At 39.1% G+C, this 18488-nt stretch overlaps 1 protein-coding gene across 73 annotated transcripts in view; it reads left to right on the top strand.

Annotated features, from left to right (window-relative positions):
* The window catches only part of ANKS1B (ankyrin repeat and sterile alpha motif domain containing 1B), a 1250151-nt gene that overhangs the window by 1135394 nt on the left and 96269 nt on the right, over positions 1–18488 (top strand). For 67 of the 73 annotated variants that reach the window (XM_006719514.5, XM_006719507.5, NM_020140.4 and 64 more), the window contains one exon: positions 17407–17514. The exons of the other annotated variants lie outside the window; for them this stretch is intronic. In XM_006719514.5, coding sequence (XP_006719577.1) covers positions 17407–17514 — 108 coding nt within the window. The remainder of the gene's footprint in view (positions 1–17406; positions 17515–18488) is intronic. 73 annotated transcript variants of the gene reach the window in all.

Below are 18488 nucleotides of genomic sequence, written 5' to 3'. Positions count from 1 at the left end.
AAGCCATACTTATGTAAGATTCAAGTGCTTCATAAAACCACCATGTTAGTAATACTTGTTTTTGAAATGTTGTGTTTGGAAAGGTGGCATCTCTTTTCTCCCAGCCTCCTTAATTAGCATTCCTTATATGCAACATTTCTCTAAGAGACACTACAGCTAAGGAGCTAAGAATGCTGCAAGGATTTTTACCTCTGCTCATAATTTTCCTGCAGGGAGGCTTCAACACATTCTGTCCATGCTCATGAAATAGAAATATCATTTTTTATAAACCTTGATGCGAGTTAAGACTAAATCTAAATAAAAAAAAAAAAGAAATGCTGGGGAAAACACTTCATCTCAAAGAATTAAAATATGAGATTTCAACATTTGAGGCATTTGACCTGAAATGTTAATAAATTCTTTTAAAAGTTGAGATTAGAAGAATTCTATGGCAAACAATCATTTTTCTTATCTTGAGGATGAACTTTGGCCTTTAAAAAATTCTTCATGAAAAATCGCAAATCAGGCCAGGCGCAGTGGCTCATGCCTGTAATCCCAGCATTTGGGGAGGCCGAGGTGAGCAGATCACTTGAGGTCAGGAGTTTGAGACCAGCCTGGCCAACATGGTGAAACCCCATCTCTACTAAAAATACAAAAATTAGCCAGGGGTGGTGGCAGGCGCCTATAATCCCAGCTACTTGGGAGGCTGAGGCAGGAGAATCGTTTAAATCTGGGAGGCGGAGGTCACAGTGAGCCAAGATCACGCCATTGCACTCCAGCCTGGGCAACAGAGCGAGACTCCGTCTCAAAAAAAAAAAAACCACACATACACAGAAATTAATCCAGGTATGGTGGCATGCACCTATAATTCCAGCTACTCTGGAGACTGAGGTAGGAGAATTGCTTGAACCTGGGAGGAGGAGGTTGCAGTGAGCTGAGATCATGCCACTGTACTCCAGCCTGGGCGACAGAGCGAGACTCCGCATCAAAAAAAAAAAAAAAAATCACAAATTACTTGAATCTCATGAAATTTGAACCAGGGATTTCAGGGAGATTTAATTTAAGTGTGGGTGGAAAAAACTTCGATGTGATCAGTAAGTGTGATAGTAACACTATAGCATTTTCATCATTAATTACACATTTCATGGATATCAAGGGCCCACTATGTGAATAATATTATGTTTATTAATTAATGACATGCCACACACTATCATCATTCTAGGGCAATATAAGAATAAATTACCAATTTTTTTATTGTATGTTGTTATTCTATCCAGCTTAATTTGACAATTTTCTTGAAATGAAAAATTAATAATTCCTCACTGTGTGTGAATGACATATGTTGCTAATGAGTTCAGTGACAACTGGAGATTAAACTGTTTTCTAACAAATACTAAGTCATTGTTTGTTGCTTGGTTTTCATTAGAGACTTGTAAATTATGATGAATTAAATTAGCAAGTGGGGATATTACTTTTCCATTTGATGATTCAGTATCTATTTCTTAGAAAGCATTGCTCTACTTTTCACTTTTTCATCTTGAACTCATAATTTTGATCAACAAATTTGCAACCTGATACAAAATAAACATGTATTAAAAATTGACCCACCATATGATTCTTCAGTTCTGTTTCTGGATATTTATCCAAACAAATTTAAATTAGGATCTTGGCCAGGCGCAGTGGCTCAAGCCTGTAATCCCAGCAGTTTGAGAGGCTGAGGCGGGCAAATCACCTAAGGTCAGGAGTTTGAGACCAGCCTGACCAACATGACAAAACCCCCTCTCTACTAAAAATACGAAAATTAGCCAGGCATGGTGGCGCATGCCTGTAATCCCAGCTGCTCAGAAGGCTGAAGCAGGAGAATCGTTTGAACCCGGGAGGCAGAAGTTGCAGTGAGCCAAGATCTCTCCACTGCACTCCAGCCTGGGTGACAGAGCAAGACTCCATCTCAAAAGAAGAAAAAAAATTAAGATCTTGAGGAGATACCTGCACTCCCGTGTTCATTGCAGCATTAGTCACAATGTCCTAAGACAAGGAATCAATCTGTATTTCCATCATTAGATGAATAAAGAAAATGTAGTGTATACATACCATGGAATATTATTTGGCCATGAAAAAGAAGGAAATCCTGCCATTTGCAACAATATGGATGAACCTGAAGGACATTATGCTAAGTGAAATAAGCCAGGCACAGAAAGCAAATACTATATGATCTCACTTCAATGTGGAATCTAATATAGCTAAACCCGTAAAAGCAGGCAGTAGAATGGTGGTTACCAGGGGCTGGGGGCAGAAATGGAAAGGTGATGGTTAAATAGAAAATTTTACTTATGCAAGAGAAATAAGCTCTAGAGATCTACTGTAGCATAGTTCCAGTAACTAACAATAGTGTATTGTGTATTTAAAATTTGCCAGAAGAGGAGATCTTATGTTAAGTATTCTTACCACACACACAAAAATGATGATAATAATAATGAAAGGAGCTGGAGGAAAATTTGGGAGCTGATGGGTATGCTTATAGTCTTGATGGTGGTGATGGTTTGATGTGTATGTACTTATCCCTAAATTGATCAAGTTGTATGCATTAAATACGTACAACCTTTTACATGTCAGTCATACTGGAATAAAGTGGTTTAAGAAAATAAAAACAAAGAGACTTCATTTTTTCACACAATGTGCTAAGTAGACTTTTGTTTATGGATCAGGACTAGTTTGATAACTGTCATTCCAAAGTTCTGTTGCCGTTAATTGTTCTTTTGCTATTATTTGTTCAAAAGTAGTATTTAACTCGAAAGAGTAGAAGATGAGTAGAGGTTCACTAGATGGAGAAGAGGAAAAGGAGACATTCCAGAAAGAAAGCACAGCTTATGTGAAAGTCCACTGATGTGTTCACATTTTAGCTTAAAACCTGAAGGAAGTGACCTGCTTTATTGCAGAGTGTGTGTTCTGGCCCTCAAAGCATCCTCCACCTCCAGAATCATCAGTTGTCTCCATATCTTTACAAAACAGCTTACAAAAGAGGTTTTCGGCTCATCCACTGCACAGGTCAACCTGGTCACTCAACATACCTGTTCCTTTCCTTGCCAGGGTGGGATGACCAGCACCATCAGCAGCTAATGATTCTCCATTCTCCAGCTTTGTGAACCATGGCTGGCCTAGGCCAAGAGAAAGAGGGAGAGAAAATTACAAAGAGTTTGCACCTTCCCCCAAATGGATTCTTTTTTACAATGAAACCTTCATTAACTGGAACTTTTGGATAGCTAATGTTGTCAGGCCTTGCTTTTAGTGCAAGAGGCAATGAAAACTAACTGCTCCTAAGAATTCCTTTATTTAAAAGAGCTAAATCTTACAGGATACTGCTGGAGCCAGTGTGCATTCCTCAGCCACCTTTTGCAGCAGCACTGTGGCCCAGTGACAAATAGTCTACACAGAGCATGACTCAGATGCAATGCAGTATTCCAGATATCTAGGGAAGAATTAAAGACTGTCAATAAACCACCCTTAGGCAGGAAAGAACAAAATATACATATATATATATGTGTGTATGTGTACATATATGTGTGTGTGTGTGTGTGTGTGTGTGTATATATATATATATGAAGAATTCTAATAAGACCTCCAACAACAGAAAAAAAAGTATCTTTTTAACCATAAGCTAAACTAATTAAATAATTGAATTAATTGAAAATTTTGTACATTCTGTATGCATATCATTGTACTAAGGTTACTTAACACACCACCTCATTATCTAAAGGTAATAGAGGTTTTTGTCATGTTAATACGCAGCATTGAACCACTAATGCAGCCCTTGAAAGTTACCTTAATTAAAAAAAAAAAAAAGTTTTAATTATCTGGGAATCATTACTGACTGACAGAGATTTTTAGATTGCCCTCAAATTTTCCAGTGCCTTTTCCAGGCTGGACTTCCTCTTCTGGCATTAAGGATTTGGAAATAATGGTGAATGAGAGAATAAAAATCAACAGAATCATTTCTGCACTAGGTATATTAATGGATAAACTTGAAAAGACTTAGAATAGACTGCAGAGTTCATATTATAATAATAAAGTACTGGTTGTTCATATAAGCACCCAGCCTTACATTTAATGAGTCTCTGGGAGAAAAATAATCAGCCACTTTTGAGCAGAAGGTAGGAGCCAGGCACTGTGCTAGGTACGTCCATTAAAATTGTCTCACTTGAGCCACACAGCATCTCTGGGAGAGAAGTGGCAGCAAGATAGAATGAATCCAAAGTGCACAAATTTTGGAAGTCGGAACTGGATTCAAATCCTGATTTTGTCATCACTTTGACAAGTTCCTTAAATTCCTGAACCTCAGTTAATTCATTTCTAAAGTTAAGGTAATTACCAGCCTTGTTAGGTTGTAATAGCAAGGTAAATGAGATTATTTATTTGGTAAAATTATTCTAAATGGGTTCATTCCCTCCCCATTAGACCCATACTTTTGCATTCTTTCTGCTAAACCCCTTCCTACGTTTAACTAAAAATTCAGCTATTTCTTTGAACTGTGGCACAGCCATATCTTTCCCATCTTGAACTTGAACAATTGATTTCTTTTGGATCCTTAATGTAAGACATTATATTTATCCCTGTTAAATTGCATCTTTTTGGTGTCAGCTTGGCCTTTTCAGCCCGTTGAGAGAATGTTGAATTTTACATTAGCCTATTATTATATTAAATATTTTTCACAGTTTTATGTCATTGAAAAATCTGATAAGTATTCTTCTTATGTCTATTTTGATGCCATTAATAAAAATATTGAATAGAGCAGAATCCAGGGGCAGAGCCTGTGGCATTCAATCAGTGGTCCCCCAACAGGTTATGACAGAGCCATTCATCAAGCCTCTTGGCTATAGATGTACAACCAGCTGTGAATCCACTTAATTTTTCCCTCATAGAGCCCACCATCTTGCAGATAATGAAAGACTTCATCAAGTGCTTTATTGGAATCAAAGACACTATATCTATGACATTCTCCTGGTCTGTCAACCTCATACTAATACCTGTCAAAAAAAGAAAGTCAATAAAGTTTGGCAAAAACTGATTTTCAATGAGGCCACCAAAGTTTGAAGAGTGGCTGATGATGCAGGGATTGTTGCCAGGGAAAAGGTGCATGGCTGGCTGCTGAGCTCCTTCTGGTGGGGTTCCAGGGGAGGGCTCAGCCCTTCCATTTCAGAAACTGGGCTTAATCAAAACACTGAATGAAGTTAGAATTTTATGAAGCTCATTTTATACCAGGCACTGTGCTAAATGCATTGCATATGTCTCATTTAATCCTAACAATTACACTAAGAGGCGAATACTGTTTCTTAGCTCCATCATTTTACACAAGTTAGGTGATACTGAGAGACGTTAAGTAATTGACCAAAAGGCATATAGAGTAAATGCCAGTACCAACACTCACACTCAGGTCATCCTGACACCAAGCCCTGCTCTTAATCACTATGCCCTCCTGAGCAGGTTCTGTGCCTCGGTGGTGTGGATTTAATTTAATTAAGGAGAGATCAATGTATCAAGATGTCCATTCTGTTAATACATGATGGGAAGGATTCTCTGACCAAATGCTCCCCTCCCTGATCCCCCGTCTTCAACATTTCCTCTTCTCATATCTGGGCACTCAGAAAACTGATTCAGCAATTACTGCTTCCTGGTACATGTGGTATTGAAGGAAAGGGAATTTTGAGGGATGTTTCATTTAGATCAGTACAAAACCTGATAAAATAACCCCTTGAGTAATCAGGGAGCTTACTTATGTTAAGATTCAGTGTCTCCCCATGCTGCTGCCAAAGCTAGATAGTTTCACTGCTTCAATATGCCCTCTACCCTTGCTTCTCCACCCCACCCTGGCACACCTTCTTTATTTAGCTGGGTTTCAGTATCACCGATTAAACTGTAGTCACACTGCCAGTCTATTTCATTGACTCTTCATGGGCTAGAAAGTCATTCTGACTCCAGTCGCTTTGTTTGTCCTAGTCTGTTTTGTGTTGCTATAACAGAACATCTGAGACTGGGTGATTTATAAAGAAGAAAAGGTTTATTTAGTTCATGGTTCTGCAGGCTAGGAAGTTCAAGAAGCATGGTGCCAGCACCTGCTCAGCTTCTGGTGAGAATTTCTGGTGTTGTATCACAACATGGTGAAAGGTTAAAGGGGAAGCTGACGTGTGAAGAGGCAAAACCCACAGGATGTCCTGGCTTCTTAACAACCCACTCTTGCAGGAACTAATTCATCCCTGTGACAACTAATCCAGTCTTGCCAGGGCAAGAACTCACTCACTCCTGAGAGAATGGCATAAGTTATTTCAAGGAGGATTCGCCACCTCATGACCCAGATATCTCCCATTAGGCCCCATCTGCCAACACTGCCACATTGGAGATCCAATTTAAAGCTGAGTTTTTGTCAGAGAAAACTCAAATCATAGCACTGTTGATGTGATTAATTTGGTGCTTAGAATGCAACCTTATTCTCTGGTTCTTGAGTGTCATCTCATGATCACCACCTGTTACCCATCCAGAGAGAACCCATGTTGGCTCCTAGTGATCACTCCGCAAACATCCATAAGCCATTTGTTGTAAGTACTTAGAAAGCATAAACATTTTTACTGAAGTGTTATGACTTGGAGGATTAAGACCCTCAAAAATATACATACATAGGAAAGTCGTACTAATTTACTGTATTGTGCACTTATAATAAAGAATATGCTACTGATCTATTAGCCTATAGTTAAATAGTACTAGGCTCCTAGAACAAAGCTACCCTGCAGGTCACATTTTCCTTAAGACATCCTGCAGTGTATATGTTGCTCACCCTTCCATCCAGCTGATAAGTGGTATATTCCAAGACAACAGAGGTCTTCTCGAGCAGCCTGGATTACAGCCTTCAGGAATGGCCTTATTTATACGATACTGCATACTGAATGCATTCTCCCAGCATTATTCTTTTTTCAAAAACAACTTCATTGCAATTTAATTACACATCATGAAAATCGCCCATTTTATGTATACAGTTGGGTAAATTTCAGTAAACCTATACAGCTATCCAACCATCAACACAATCCCATTTTAGAACATTTCCATAACCCTAAAAAGTTCCTTTATGCTCATTGCAGTCAATCCCTGCTCCTATTCCTACTCCAGATAACCACTGATATGTTTTCTGTACATATAGTTTTATGCTGTCTAGAAACTCATGTAAATGGAATCCTACAATATTCTATCATCTTGTGTGTGCAGCTTCTTTCACTTAGCATAATGTTTTTGAGGTCTGTTGATGCTATAGCCTGTATCATGTAGCCCATTCCTTTGTATCATTAGGCAGTATTTTGTTGCATGAATATACTGTATTTTACTTATCCATTCACCAGTTGATCGGACATTTGGATTATTGCTAATTTTTAGCTATTATGAATAATGTTGCTTAAACATTCATGTACACATCTTTATGTGGGCATATGTATTCATTTTTAGCTAGGAGTTGCTAGCTAGAGTCAACTTGCTGGGTTATATGTTAGAAAACTGGGTCAAAATTTGAGAAACTGGCAGTTTCCTCAAAAGTGACTGTGCCATTTACAATCCTACCAGCAAGATGAGAGTTCCAGTTCCTCCACATCCTTATCATCCGAGGTAGGGTCATTCTTTTCTAACATTAGCCATTCTTATGGGTTTAGGGTGATTCCTAGCTCTACTCTGTGATGTGACTCTCCAGAAGATAAGGAAGGGGATAGTGGTGGGGGTGGGGACAAAGGGAGAAAAGGGACGATAAGAAATCTCTCTCACTGTTGTTACCCCTTTTTTTTTCCTCTTTTTGAACTCATCCTTGGGACTCAACCTCTGCTTTCCTTATAATACTTTCTTTTAACCTTAACATCCTTTTTGCCTCCATACGTAGCTGAAATATGGTAAATGTCCAATTCTAAAGTGCAGTAGTAGCTGGCTAGGCTAAGTAAAATCTGTGGATGCATTTTTAAAACTTTAGTTTAGCTAGTTTTAGGTAGATTTTTTACCTCCTCCCACATAAAACCCTTTTATCAGAGCTGCTGACAGAAACAGAATTGGCTGGATTGAATTCACTGCCTCTTTCACTATTCTGTCTGCTGATGGAGGGTGTTATATGCCATTAAAGTAGCTAAACCTCAAGAAGAGGGGCAGAGCAGCAACAGAGCAGAAAAGACCACTTATAATCCAAAAACGGAGTAACCAGGCCCTCACTTACCTAGGATTGTCTCTTGAGACTCAATTTGTCTTAGAGCTTCTTTTACAAATATGGGTGTGTTCATGTATGTTGCGTGTTTCTGTTTATTTTATATGGATATATGTTAATGAATTTCGGTAACCATAATTTCCTTTACAATACTGAGAGCATCAGTCACACAATATAATTGATCATAAATTTTATGATCTCAAAAATTGAAAGGAAATAAAGTTAGAAAATACCCTCGTTAGCAGTAAATATCCTGCATGGTTAGCAAAATATAGCAAAACAGCAGTCTCTCTACTTCTTAAGATGCAGAGCATTTTTATGTATTCATAGTACTGCAGGGAGATTTGCACTTTTCAGATGCTATTAGCACATCTTCACATCTCCAAGAATAACTTCAGATCTGGGATGTTGCACATACTTCCCATTTTCTTTTGTAACAAATTTTTCCTTCAATAACCCCAATGATTGGGTTATTGAGCAATGTAAACCAAATTTCTCCTATAAAAACTTAACTGGCAGCAAGCTTTACTTAAAAGTAACTTTCAGGGAAATTAGTTGGGAACTGATTTATTGTTTTGTTTTGTGTGTGTTTTTAATCTTCTGAAGCAATGTTTACATGAAAATCAGAAAATTAGTACCTTCATCAAGAGGTAATTCAGAGAGCTTTACAAATAAACCTAAGATTCTCATTGATTACAAAAGAAGGCTTTGTACCTCCAGAGCCCTTAAATGTTCAGAGGCAATTATACCATTAAGGTCTCTCTTTCCATGCAAAGATGATCTCATTTCCTCATAATTAGTATTTCCTATTTAATGAGACAGACTACATTCAGAAAACACGCATTCCTCCTCCCTCGCTCTTTCTCACTATCCTTTGCTCTCTCTGGAGCTGTATAACTTGGAACCTCTTTTCCTTTCCATAGGTTAGTACAGTTGTATTTCGGTGGCATCTGTCAAACAGTTATTTGCTGATTATTTAGTAGCAGTTGGTTTGGAAAGTAATAGCAGAAGGAAAAGGGAATTTGGAAACTGTAGTCAGAGGGATTTTTTTTAGATGAAGTGGCAGAGGTAAAGGGAAAGAGTTACAGATGGTGGGATGTAAGGAAGTTTTGCATCACCCGTGGCAAGACTGTGTGTAGGAATTAAGGTGCCAAAGCTCAGAAAGAATAGAAGACTCTTGAGAGTAGAAACGGAATGAAATAAGACATAGGTGTTATTTTCCTTCCCTCTTTTTCTTTTAGAGACATCTCCCCTGCTTCATTTGTTGTCCACCTTGACAGGGGTTTGAGTTGAGATCTTAGAGATCACCTTTGAGTTGTATTCGTGAGCTAGATGCATTCAGGGACCCTGAGATGCAGTGACACTATATCTGACTTTTCAGCGCCTAGAGTCTAGTTGATCAGGTAAGACACATACGCAAAAAAAAGAGAGTTAGCTATACCCACCAGGATGTATCATGTGTCAACAGCACAGGGTAGACCACAGATACTAAAGAAATTCAAAGAGAGAAAGGTCTATGTAATCCAAGGTGAGCAAGCAAGGCTTTAGGTGGATCTCGATTTCATCCTTGTGAGATTCTAATGAAAATCCAGGCAGAGACACTCTGGAATATGCACAAGTGTGTATACATGGAGCAAAGAAATAACAGGAGAGAAGATTGGAGAAGTGGAAGGCATGATTCTGGATCTAAAATCTACCCAGAGATATCCATAATGGCACATTTAAATATCAAAGGTAATATCTAAATATTGTTGATAGGGTAAGAAAGTTTTAAGTTTCTGTTATACTTAAAAGAGAAATAATACCTTAGTTAGTACCTTAGTTCTGTGCTTTATAATTTCCAGATAAGCTTCCTAGTCATTCTCATTCATTCCACAGAAACCCCTTTTAGGCTGGGAAGGCTGTGTAGACGTATATATTTAGATGGATGGATGGATGATAGAAAGATAGATACATACATACATACATAGATGCCTACATACATACACACAAATATACACACACATACGTTCACATGGTTTTAATATTTTTTTACTGCCTGGATTGAGAGCCCTGGAGGACTCGATATTTTTTCTTCTTTGTGGCTCACAAATTGCATAACATGGTGGTTATATGTGAAAGGCATCCAAGAAATATTTGTTGAATAAGACTGTTATTGTCCCCTTTATATTACAACTCAAAGACATTAAAGATTACTTAGCTAGAAGAAGAGTAAGAGAAGAACCAAATGTCATGACTTTCTGCTCCTGAGGTCTTTCTGTTCACCATCCCATGCTGGACATGGATTATTGCAGTTCAAGAAATAAGAGAGAAAAATGTCATGGTCAAAACTGTATGCAAGTTCAAGTGAGGATTTCTAAGATTGCAGGAATTCGAAATGGAATTTTACACAGGCACTTTTGCCTTGATGCTTTCAGGTGGAAAGTGTTTAGAAATTGTTATCAGGCAGGGGGGAAAACTTTGACAATTATTTGCAATTTTAGTTCTGCAGATGAGAACAAAGCAGATCAGTTTCCACCGCAACTTCCATTCTTGGCATTTAGGAACACCAGAACTGCTCAGAACACTTGCAGTTTTATTAGAAGAGGCTACTCTGAAGCCAGGTGAGCTCTACAGACTTGCATAGGAGCTGTTCTCTTTAGTTGGCCAAGTATCTAGAAAGGAAAGGGGAAATAATCTACCCCCTAAAATGGAAGGGAGTTCCAAATGCAGGATGAACTCCCTCCCTCAATAACAATCTAGAAATAAAAAGGATGCAGTCGCCTGGTGGTGAGAACTAGAATCGCTTGTGTGCCCAGCATCGCTGCATGTGTACTCTCTGAAGAATTCCAGCTACATGTGCTGTTTCACATCTGTCAGCTAAATCTGAACTCCAAAAACATAACAAAATGCAAAATATGGCACTGAGGAACATTATGTGGGTTTGTGATTTTCCCAGGAGTTGGTCCAGCCGGCAATAAACGGATTGAGATTTCATGCAGAACATAGAGACAGACTGTTGCTACATGACTTTTCTGCGTGACTTGTGTGATTCTTGCAGTCTTCTTTGGTGTTTTCTATGCTGTGTCTATGTAAACATGGCATTGAGAACGGAAATTGTAGGATGATAGAATTATTTAAGCATGTGGAATGTTTGCTATCCAGAAAGGAGCACAAACCAAAATTTTCAATGATAGGGGAAATGTTTAGTGAATTATGACATACTTCTCTGAAACAATAATGTGATAATATGGAGTTAGTTAAAATGTCTACTGAGAGTTGTATATGTAGAAAAGTTCTTTAGCTTTAAAGAACTGAAGAAAAGGCGAAAATGGTACTCGTGATATGACCACCACAAAACATAATCATGGGGGAGAAATGAAATATATCTATTTAGATATAGTTTGTGGATTACTGGTTCTCTTACTTGTTTTTCTGTATTTTATAAAGTGTCTAAAATGGGAAAGCAGTATAGCTATTATAATCAAAATGTTATTTACTTTTTTAAAAGCAGATAAAAATGCTTCATTTACATCATGTTTAAATTAAACATGTTAAATTTAATGTGATATAAATTTAAACATGTTTAATTTTATATCACATTAAATTTTAAAAGAAAAAAGGAAGTTTAAGTACATTGACTTTCAGCTTTGCTATGACATATATTCTGAAGTAAGCTATTCCATGTAAGGGTATATCATGATACTGTCTGGCAGAATTCCCACAGCCAAACCCAGAAACATAAACAGCAGTGACGTGATATTATAGGATTGTCATCCAGCATGATTATTCTCCTGTTGCTGAGATTCACAGTGGGGTTTCCGGAATTATCCTGTTTAAGTGATACTGGAGAAAATTCCTGGAGGCGGCTACTGCTGTGATGAATGGATACCCACCTGTGGCTGACTCCTGTGGTTTCAACAATACTCCTTGCCTTTGACCCACATTCCTCTTACAATAGTTGTAATAAAAACCATTAAGAACACATGCCATAACTTTTATTTCCTTTTCTTTTTCTTTTTTTTTTTTTTCTGAGACAGAGTCTTGCTCCATCGCCCAGGCTGGAGTGCAGTGGCGTAATCTCGGCTCACTGCAACTTCCACCTCCCGGGTTCAAGTGATTCTCCTGCCTCGGCCTCCCGAGTAGCTGGGACTACAGGCGTGCGCCACCATGCCTGGCTAATTTTTTTTTTTTGTATTTTTAATAGAGACGGGGTTTCACTGTGTTAGCCAGGATGGTCTCGATCTCCTGACCTCGTGATCCACCCATCTCAGCCTCCCAAAGTGCTGGGATTACAGGCATGAGCCACTGCGCCTGGCCAACTTTTATTTCTTATCTATTGGAACTCAGCAGTTGGAGCCACATTCTTATGCTTATGTGTATAATAATTTTTCTTAGTTAATGGTGTGATAATGTAGTTATTTGTGCCTGATCTCTCCAATATTGTAAGCTCTGTTCATAGACGTTCCCCTTTGAATCCTCCAAATAATTGGTAGCAGAAATTCAGTATTGTTTTTTGAGCCGAACTGAATTGCTTCAACATCTTAGAATAACTGAATCTCCAATATATTACCATTATTTTGTCTTTTACTCCCATTATGTTCTTGTCTGAACAGTTAACTTTAACCCAAACAGTAACGAAAACACAGAATTCTTCTCTACTGCAGTAACCATTGCTTTGGTGTTCTTGAAAACTAAAGTTTTCACACTGGTTATCACCCATGATGCCTGGGGTTGTAGGATTCCACTACTCAGGAACCCCATCTGCTTGCAAAGACAGTCTGCTATAAAGCCTTTCTCACTCAAGGCAAACCCAGCCACCTTCAGACTTGACTTTTCCATAATGACCATCTTTCTTTGGAATATTCTCTCTGTTATTGTTTTGCCAATTGGATTTCTTACTGTCAACTTGGGCGTTTTGAAGCCCACTGTCACCCTCTCTACCACTCCACAGTGAGCCAGCTCGGATTGAATCTTGGGTGATGAGGGTTTCCTGTCCTTGGTCTATATGTGTATTTCACAGGGAATACTGTGAGGTACCTGCCCTTGTAGCCTGTAGCTTTAACAATGCTATAAGCCTTACTAAAAAGTGAATTATTTTAATGTTTTCAGATGCTCAAAACCCTATATAAATGCTTTAAACATGATAACTCAAAGTAAGAAGCAACATCTTAAGAAGCCTCATGATGACATAACCAATAGTGTAGCTAAAGGTCAAAAGGTATAGAGGTTAACAGCAAGAAGAAGAGCAAGGAGAGTAGTGAAGGGCTGGTTAAGAATCAGGTGCACATCCTAGCCATGTACCTCTTAGCAGTGTGACCTTGGGCAAGTTACTTAGCATTTCATAATCTCAGATTTTGCATCTCTAAAATGAGAATGGTTTTATTGTATGCTATTGTAAGGATTACAGGAGATATTTATATTTGTGTATAACCACTTGGTAGTTTCTAGCACAACTAGGACATAGAACTAGAGTATAGAAAATGTTCAGTAAATGGAAGTTACCATCAGTATCTTCAGTGATGGGGGCTCATTTCTGATAAAAAGGAGAGTTATCCAGGTGATCTTGATAGTACTAACCATCCTGTGTTAATTCGTTTCCTGTCTATCTGTCTATCATCTATCATCTATCCATCAATCCATTCATTCATCCGTCCACCCTCATCTGGGTAGCTCTATGGAGGAGACAGCAATGAAGCTTCAGTGCAGAGGAGTGCCTCAGCTTACCTCCTATTGAAGATTAAGCGATGTGGATGGCAGAAGAGCATATTCTTTTAAATTGGGTCTGGCCTCAGACTAATAGCTAGAAATCAGCCATGTTCCTACTAGGATAAGTTACTTCATTGAGGGCTTTCCCAAGGTTAGCCACATCTCTTCATCCAAAGCTCCAGTGTATTTGTTTAACATGATTGACTTTATGACAATGAACAAGTCCTTGTTCTTCTGGGCCAGGATTCCTGTGCACCCTCAGAACCCATTCACTGGAATAAGCACACTGTGAAAGTTGCTTCTTCTATGTGTCAGGCACTATGCTGGTTATTCTCACAACTTACTCTTCATCTTCCCAACCACATTTGAAATTGTCATTAACTTCTTCACTTTATATGTGAGAAAACCTGAGATCAGAGGAGTCAGGTAACCTGCCCAAAATTGAGTTGTGGGAGAGTAAACCAAAAGCAATAGTGGGGATTACATCAGCTCAATTGTACCACAGTTATGTGTTATTTAGTGTCAGTTTTGTAAATAATAATAATAATAATAATAATAATAATTAAGCAAATGTCTTTATTATAAAAAACATTTCTAGCAGGACTCAGGGAGGGGGCAAGGTAGTACCATCAGCATGAGGTCCAGCTACCTGCTGGGAGAAAGGCGGTGAAGATTTTATGGGAGGAATTTATATCCAATAGAAGCCTTTGGCAAAGGAATTGAGGATGAGAATAAAAGAGAATTAGAAAATATGCTGTATTTAGACTTGCAAAATACCTTTGAAAAGGTTATCATATTTTTTCTGAGATGGAGGAATTATTTGGTCTTGATGCTTAAAAACAGAAACAATACAAGAATATAAGGGCATTTCTATGGATCGTATAAACAATGCTGCCTGCAAGTAATCAGCAGTAGGGCCACACTTAGTTAGCATATTTATAAATCATCTGAAAGGAATACATAGTGAAATTTCCAGATATGCAAAAATCACTAAGCTCTTCCAGGTAGTGAAATGCCAAACTGGTTAATATAAATGCAAAAAGCTAACATAGGGCTGTGTGAGTGGGCAGAAGGATGGCAGATGGGCTTCTGCCTGGACAACTGTAAGATAAGAAATTTAGGGAAAAATAACTCAAATCATCCCTCCTAGATTAAAGGGCTTTGAACTATTAGCTATAACAAAATTAAGGGATTTTATAGTCAGTGTATACTTTTGTCCCTGGTTATTCCTACTGCAGCTAAAAGGCTAGCTAGAAATCACGTGTGCTTAGGAAGGACATTTTAAACGGGTATTAAAAGCAGAAAACAGTATCCTGCATAAATGTAAAGCCATGGTTCACTTACACCTGGAATATTGTGAGCCATTTTTTCAGCAAACCTTAAGCAGCTATAATAGGGTAGGAGAAAGTCCTGAGGATGTCAACTGAAATGATTTATGGAAAAGAGGAGCTGCTTTATGAAAACAAACTTGCAAAGATTAGGATTAATCAGCCTGGGGAGATGAAGGTTTTATAAAATCATAGGGATATGGTGCATGGGGACATTCACCTTGGCTAACATTTACCCTCCTCATCATCAACAGACATGGGTCAGAGGGTGGCTGTCAAAGGAATAGGGCGTAGTGTGAGTTTAAAATCTACATCAGTTTAGGCCAAAAGGCCCGTAAGTTAACCAACAAATAGGCAAATAAAAAGTCAAGGTAGATGAAATACTACACAGACATAAAAAAGAATGAAATCATGTCCTTTGCAGCAGCATGGATGCAGCTGAAGGCCATTACCCTTAAGTTAATTAACGCAGAAACAGAAAACCAAATATTGCATGTTCTCACTTATAAGTGGGAGCTAAACGTTGAGTACTCATGGGCATAACGATGGCAACAGTGAACACTGGGGACGACAAAGGAGGGGAGGGAGGAAGGGAAGAAGGGCTGAGAAACTACCTATTGGGTACTATGCATACTACCTGGTGACGGGATCATTCATATCCCAGACCTCAGCATCACTCAGTGTATTCATGTAACAAACCTGCACATATACCACCTACATCTAAATTAAAAGTTGAAATTTAAAAAAAATTCAAGGTATCATGGGATGCCTGCCAAAGAAACGCTCTCCCCACCTTCTATCTTAAAACTTGAAAAGAGAAGAGAAAAATGTACACATGGGATAACGACTTTGGAAACTAGTTACCCAACAAGATTATTATATCCTGGGACTACACATAGGTAGGGAAGAGGTAAACACATTTTTATGAATGGATGAATATACAATGTGTTTTTAAGAAGCTGGTAACATTTGGAGAAATGCCCAAATTTTGTGACGTATACTTTGGAGTAAAACATGCTTTGGAATCAGGCAAATCTGATTCAAATCCCAGAGCCACGACATGCTGGCTCTTGGGTAGGTGACTTAACCACTCGGAACCACAGTTTCTTCATCTGTCAAGTGAGAACTCCTTCCAGATAGAGAAGTTGGGAAGATTGAAAGGGGTGTGGCCCTGGTAAAGCACCGGGAATGGGGCTGAGGATTGAGGCGCTGCAATTCTCAGTTCCCTTTGAGAGCTCTTCTACCATGTGCCCTTTGCAGCATGGTCAGATTCAAAATACCATCCTGGGGAGGCTCTGAGTCTACCCCAATAGGCAGTCCTTCATTCTAACTGTATCCTTATGCAAGATGACTCTAATTTTGCAACTCCCATCTCTATTACCATTCATTCTTTCATATTCATTAATCCCTTATTTTTTTTTAGTCATCCTTTTATGCTTTTGGGAAATAATAGTGCTCTACATATGCCAGTGCCCTGCTCTCAGGGAGCTTACCTGGAGAGGGTGGAACAAAACACAAACACTAAGCTTGTAAAGAAAGTGCTTTTAGAGTGTGATAAAATGAGGATGGATCATCGTGGAGAGCATGTCAGGGGTTGAGGGCATGGCTTCTTCAATAAGGAGGCGGGGGAGGACCTTTCTGAGGAGACATCAGCAGCACAGTGTCCAGAACCATGAGAAGTCACTGGTTATTTGAAAATCTCAGAGGGGAGAGGGGGCATTCCAGGCAGGTGGTTGAGCAGGGGTAGAGGCCCCAAGGTGAGAATGAATGTGGAGCTTCTAATACCTAGAGGAGGCTGGCATGACTGCATATCCTGGATGGAGGGAAAGAGACAGAGGGCAGCCTGTCCCTCTGAAGCCTGAGTCCAGACTCAGATTTTATCCTGTGAGGTTTCGGCTGCTTATAAGAAGAGCTGGTTTCTCTTGAGGCTGCTGCATTGGGAATGAGGCTCTCAGGCAGCATGAGTGGAAGGAGAACCATCCTCCCTTCTCTTTGTGCCCCTGATACTTAGCCACTCCAGGCTTTCCAGATGCTACTGCAATCTTTCTGGACTTCAGCGGTCACACTGAAGTGACACCACATCTCATGGTGCAGGAGTAACTTTGCACAAATCTTTTTTCACCCCACATGTTTTAGGACATATAAAAATTATTTGTTCTCCAGTGAAATATTTAACCCAAATATATGTTGTTTCAGGTTTTAAAAATCAATTTGATTGGCCACAGGAAACGTATTTTGGCATCTCTGGGAGACAGGCTGCACGACGATCCCCCACAGAAGCCCCCTCGGTCCATCACCCTCAGGGTAAGTGCCAAGCACATTCATCTGGTTCTCTGCCCTTATCTTAAGAACTATTTGTTTGAGACCAGCCTGGCCAACATGGTGAGACCCTGCCTCTACTGAAAACAGAAAAAATTTAGCCAGGTGTGGTTGTGCCTGTCTGTAGTCCCAGCTACTCCGGAGGCTGAGACATGAAAATCACTTGAACCCAGAAGGCGGAGCATTGCAGTGAGCAGAGATCGCACCACTGCACTCCAGCCTGGGCAACAGAGTAAGAAAATAAAAGAATTATTTTATGTAGTTTTATAGGTTTTATAAACGTGCACTTTATACAACTGAAGCAATAGATCAGGAAGTGCTGGCTCTTTTCTATGAAGTTTACCATATCTGTGTAGAAAACAATCTGTCTTTTGATTGTTTGACACAATCAAAACAACAAGATTTGTTTTTCTAGATTGGTTAAATATATATTTTTGAGATTTAGATATCCATCTATAATGGAATTCAGCCTGACAAACCACTACCTTTAAAGAACCACTCCCTCACCTCCCATCCCACACCCCATCTACGCCAAGAGAGCGGAAATGGGTTTTCTGTCAGACTCCTCAAACCCACAGAAAGAAAATTGATCAAGGACCACAGTTAAGTAAAGATCAATTTAAAATTAACCTTAGGGTCTTCTGTTTTTCAAGAAGTAAAATTTGTCCAGCTTTACTCACTTCAAAAATTCAGAATAGAGAATCTAAAACCTTACTTAATAAATTGTATTTCTTTTATTCAACTACACTTTAGAATTATGAGGTAGGGGCCGGGCGCAGTGGCTCATGCCTGTGATCCCAGCACTTTGGAAGGCAGAGGTGGGCGGGTCATGAGGTCAGGAGATCTAGACCATCCTGGCTAACACAGTGAAACCCCGACTCTACTAAAAATACAAAAAATTAGCCGGGCATGGTGGTGGGCGCCTGTAATCCCAGCTACTCGGGAGGCTGAGGCAGGAG

The sequence above is a fragment of the Homo sapiens genome, chromosome 12, assembly GCF_000001405.40.
Source record: "Homo sapiens chromosome 12, GRCh38.p14 Primary Assembly".
Lineage (NCBI taxonomy): Eukaryota > Metazoa > Chordata > Mammalia > Primates > Hominidae > Homo > Homo sapiens.
Note: the sequence above shows the minus strand (reverse complement) of the source record. Positions and strands in the feature narration are given on the sequence as shown.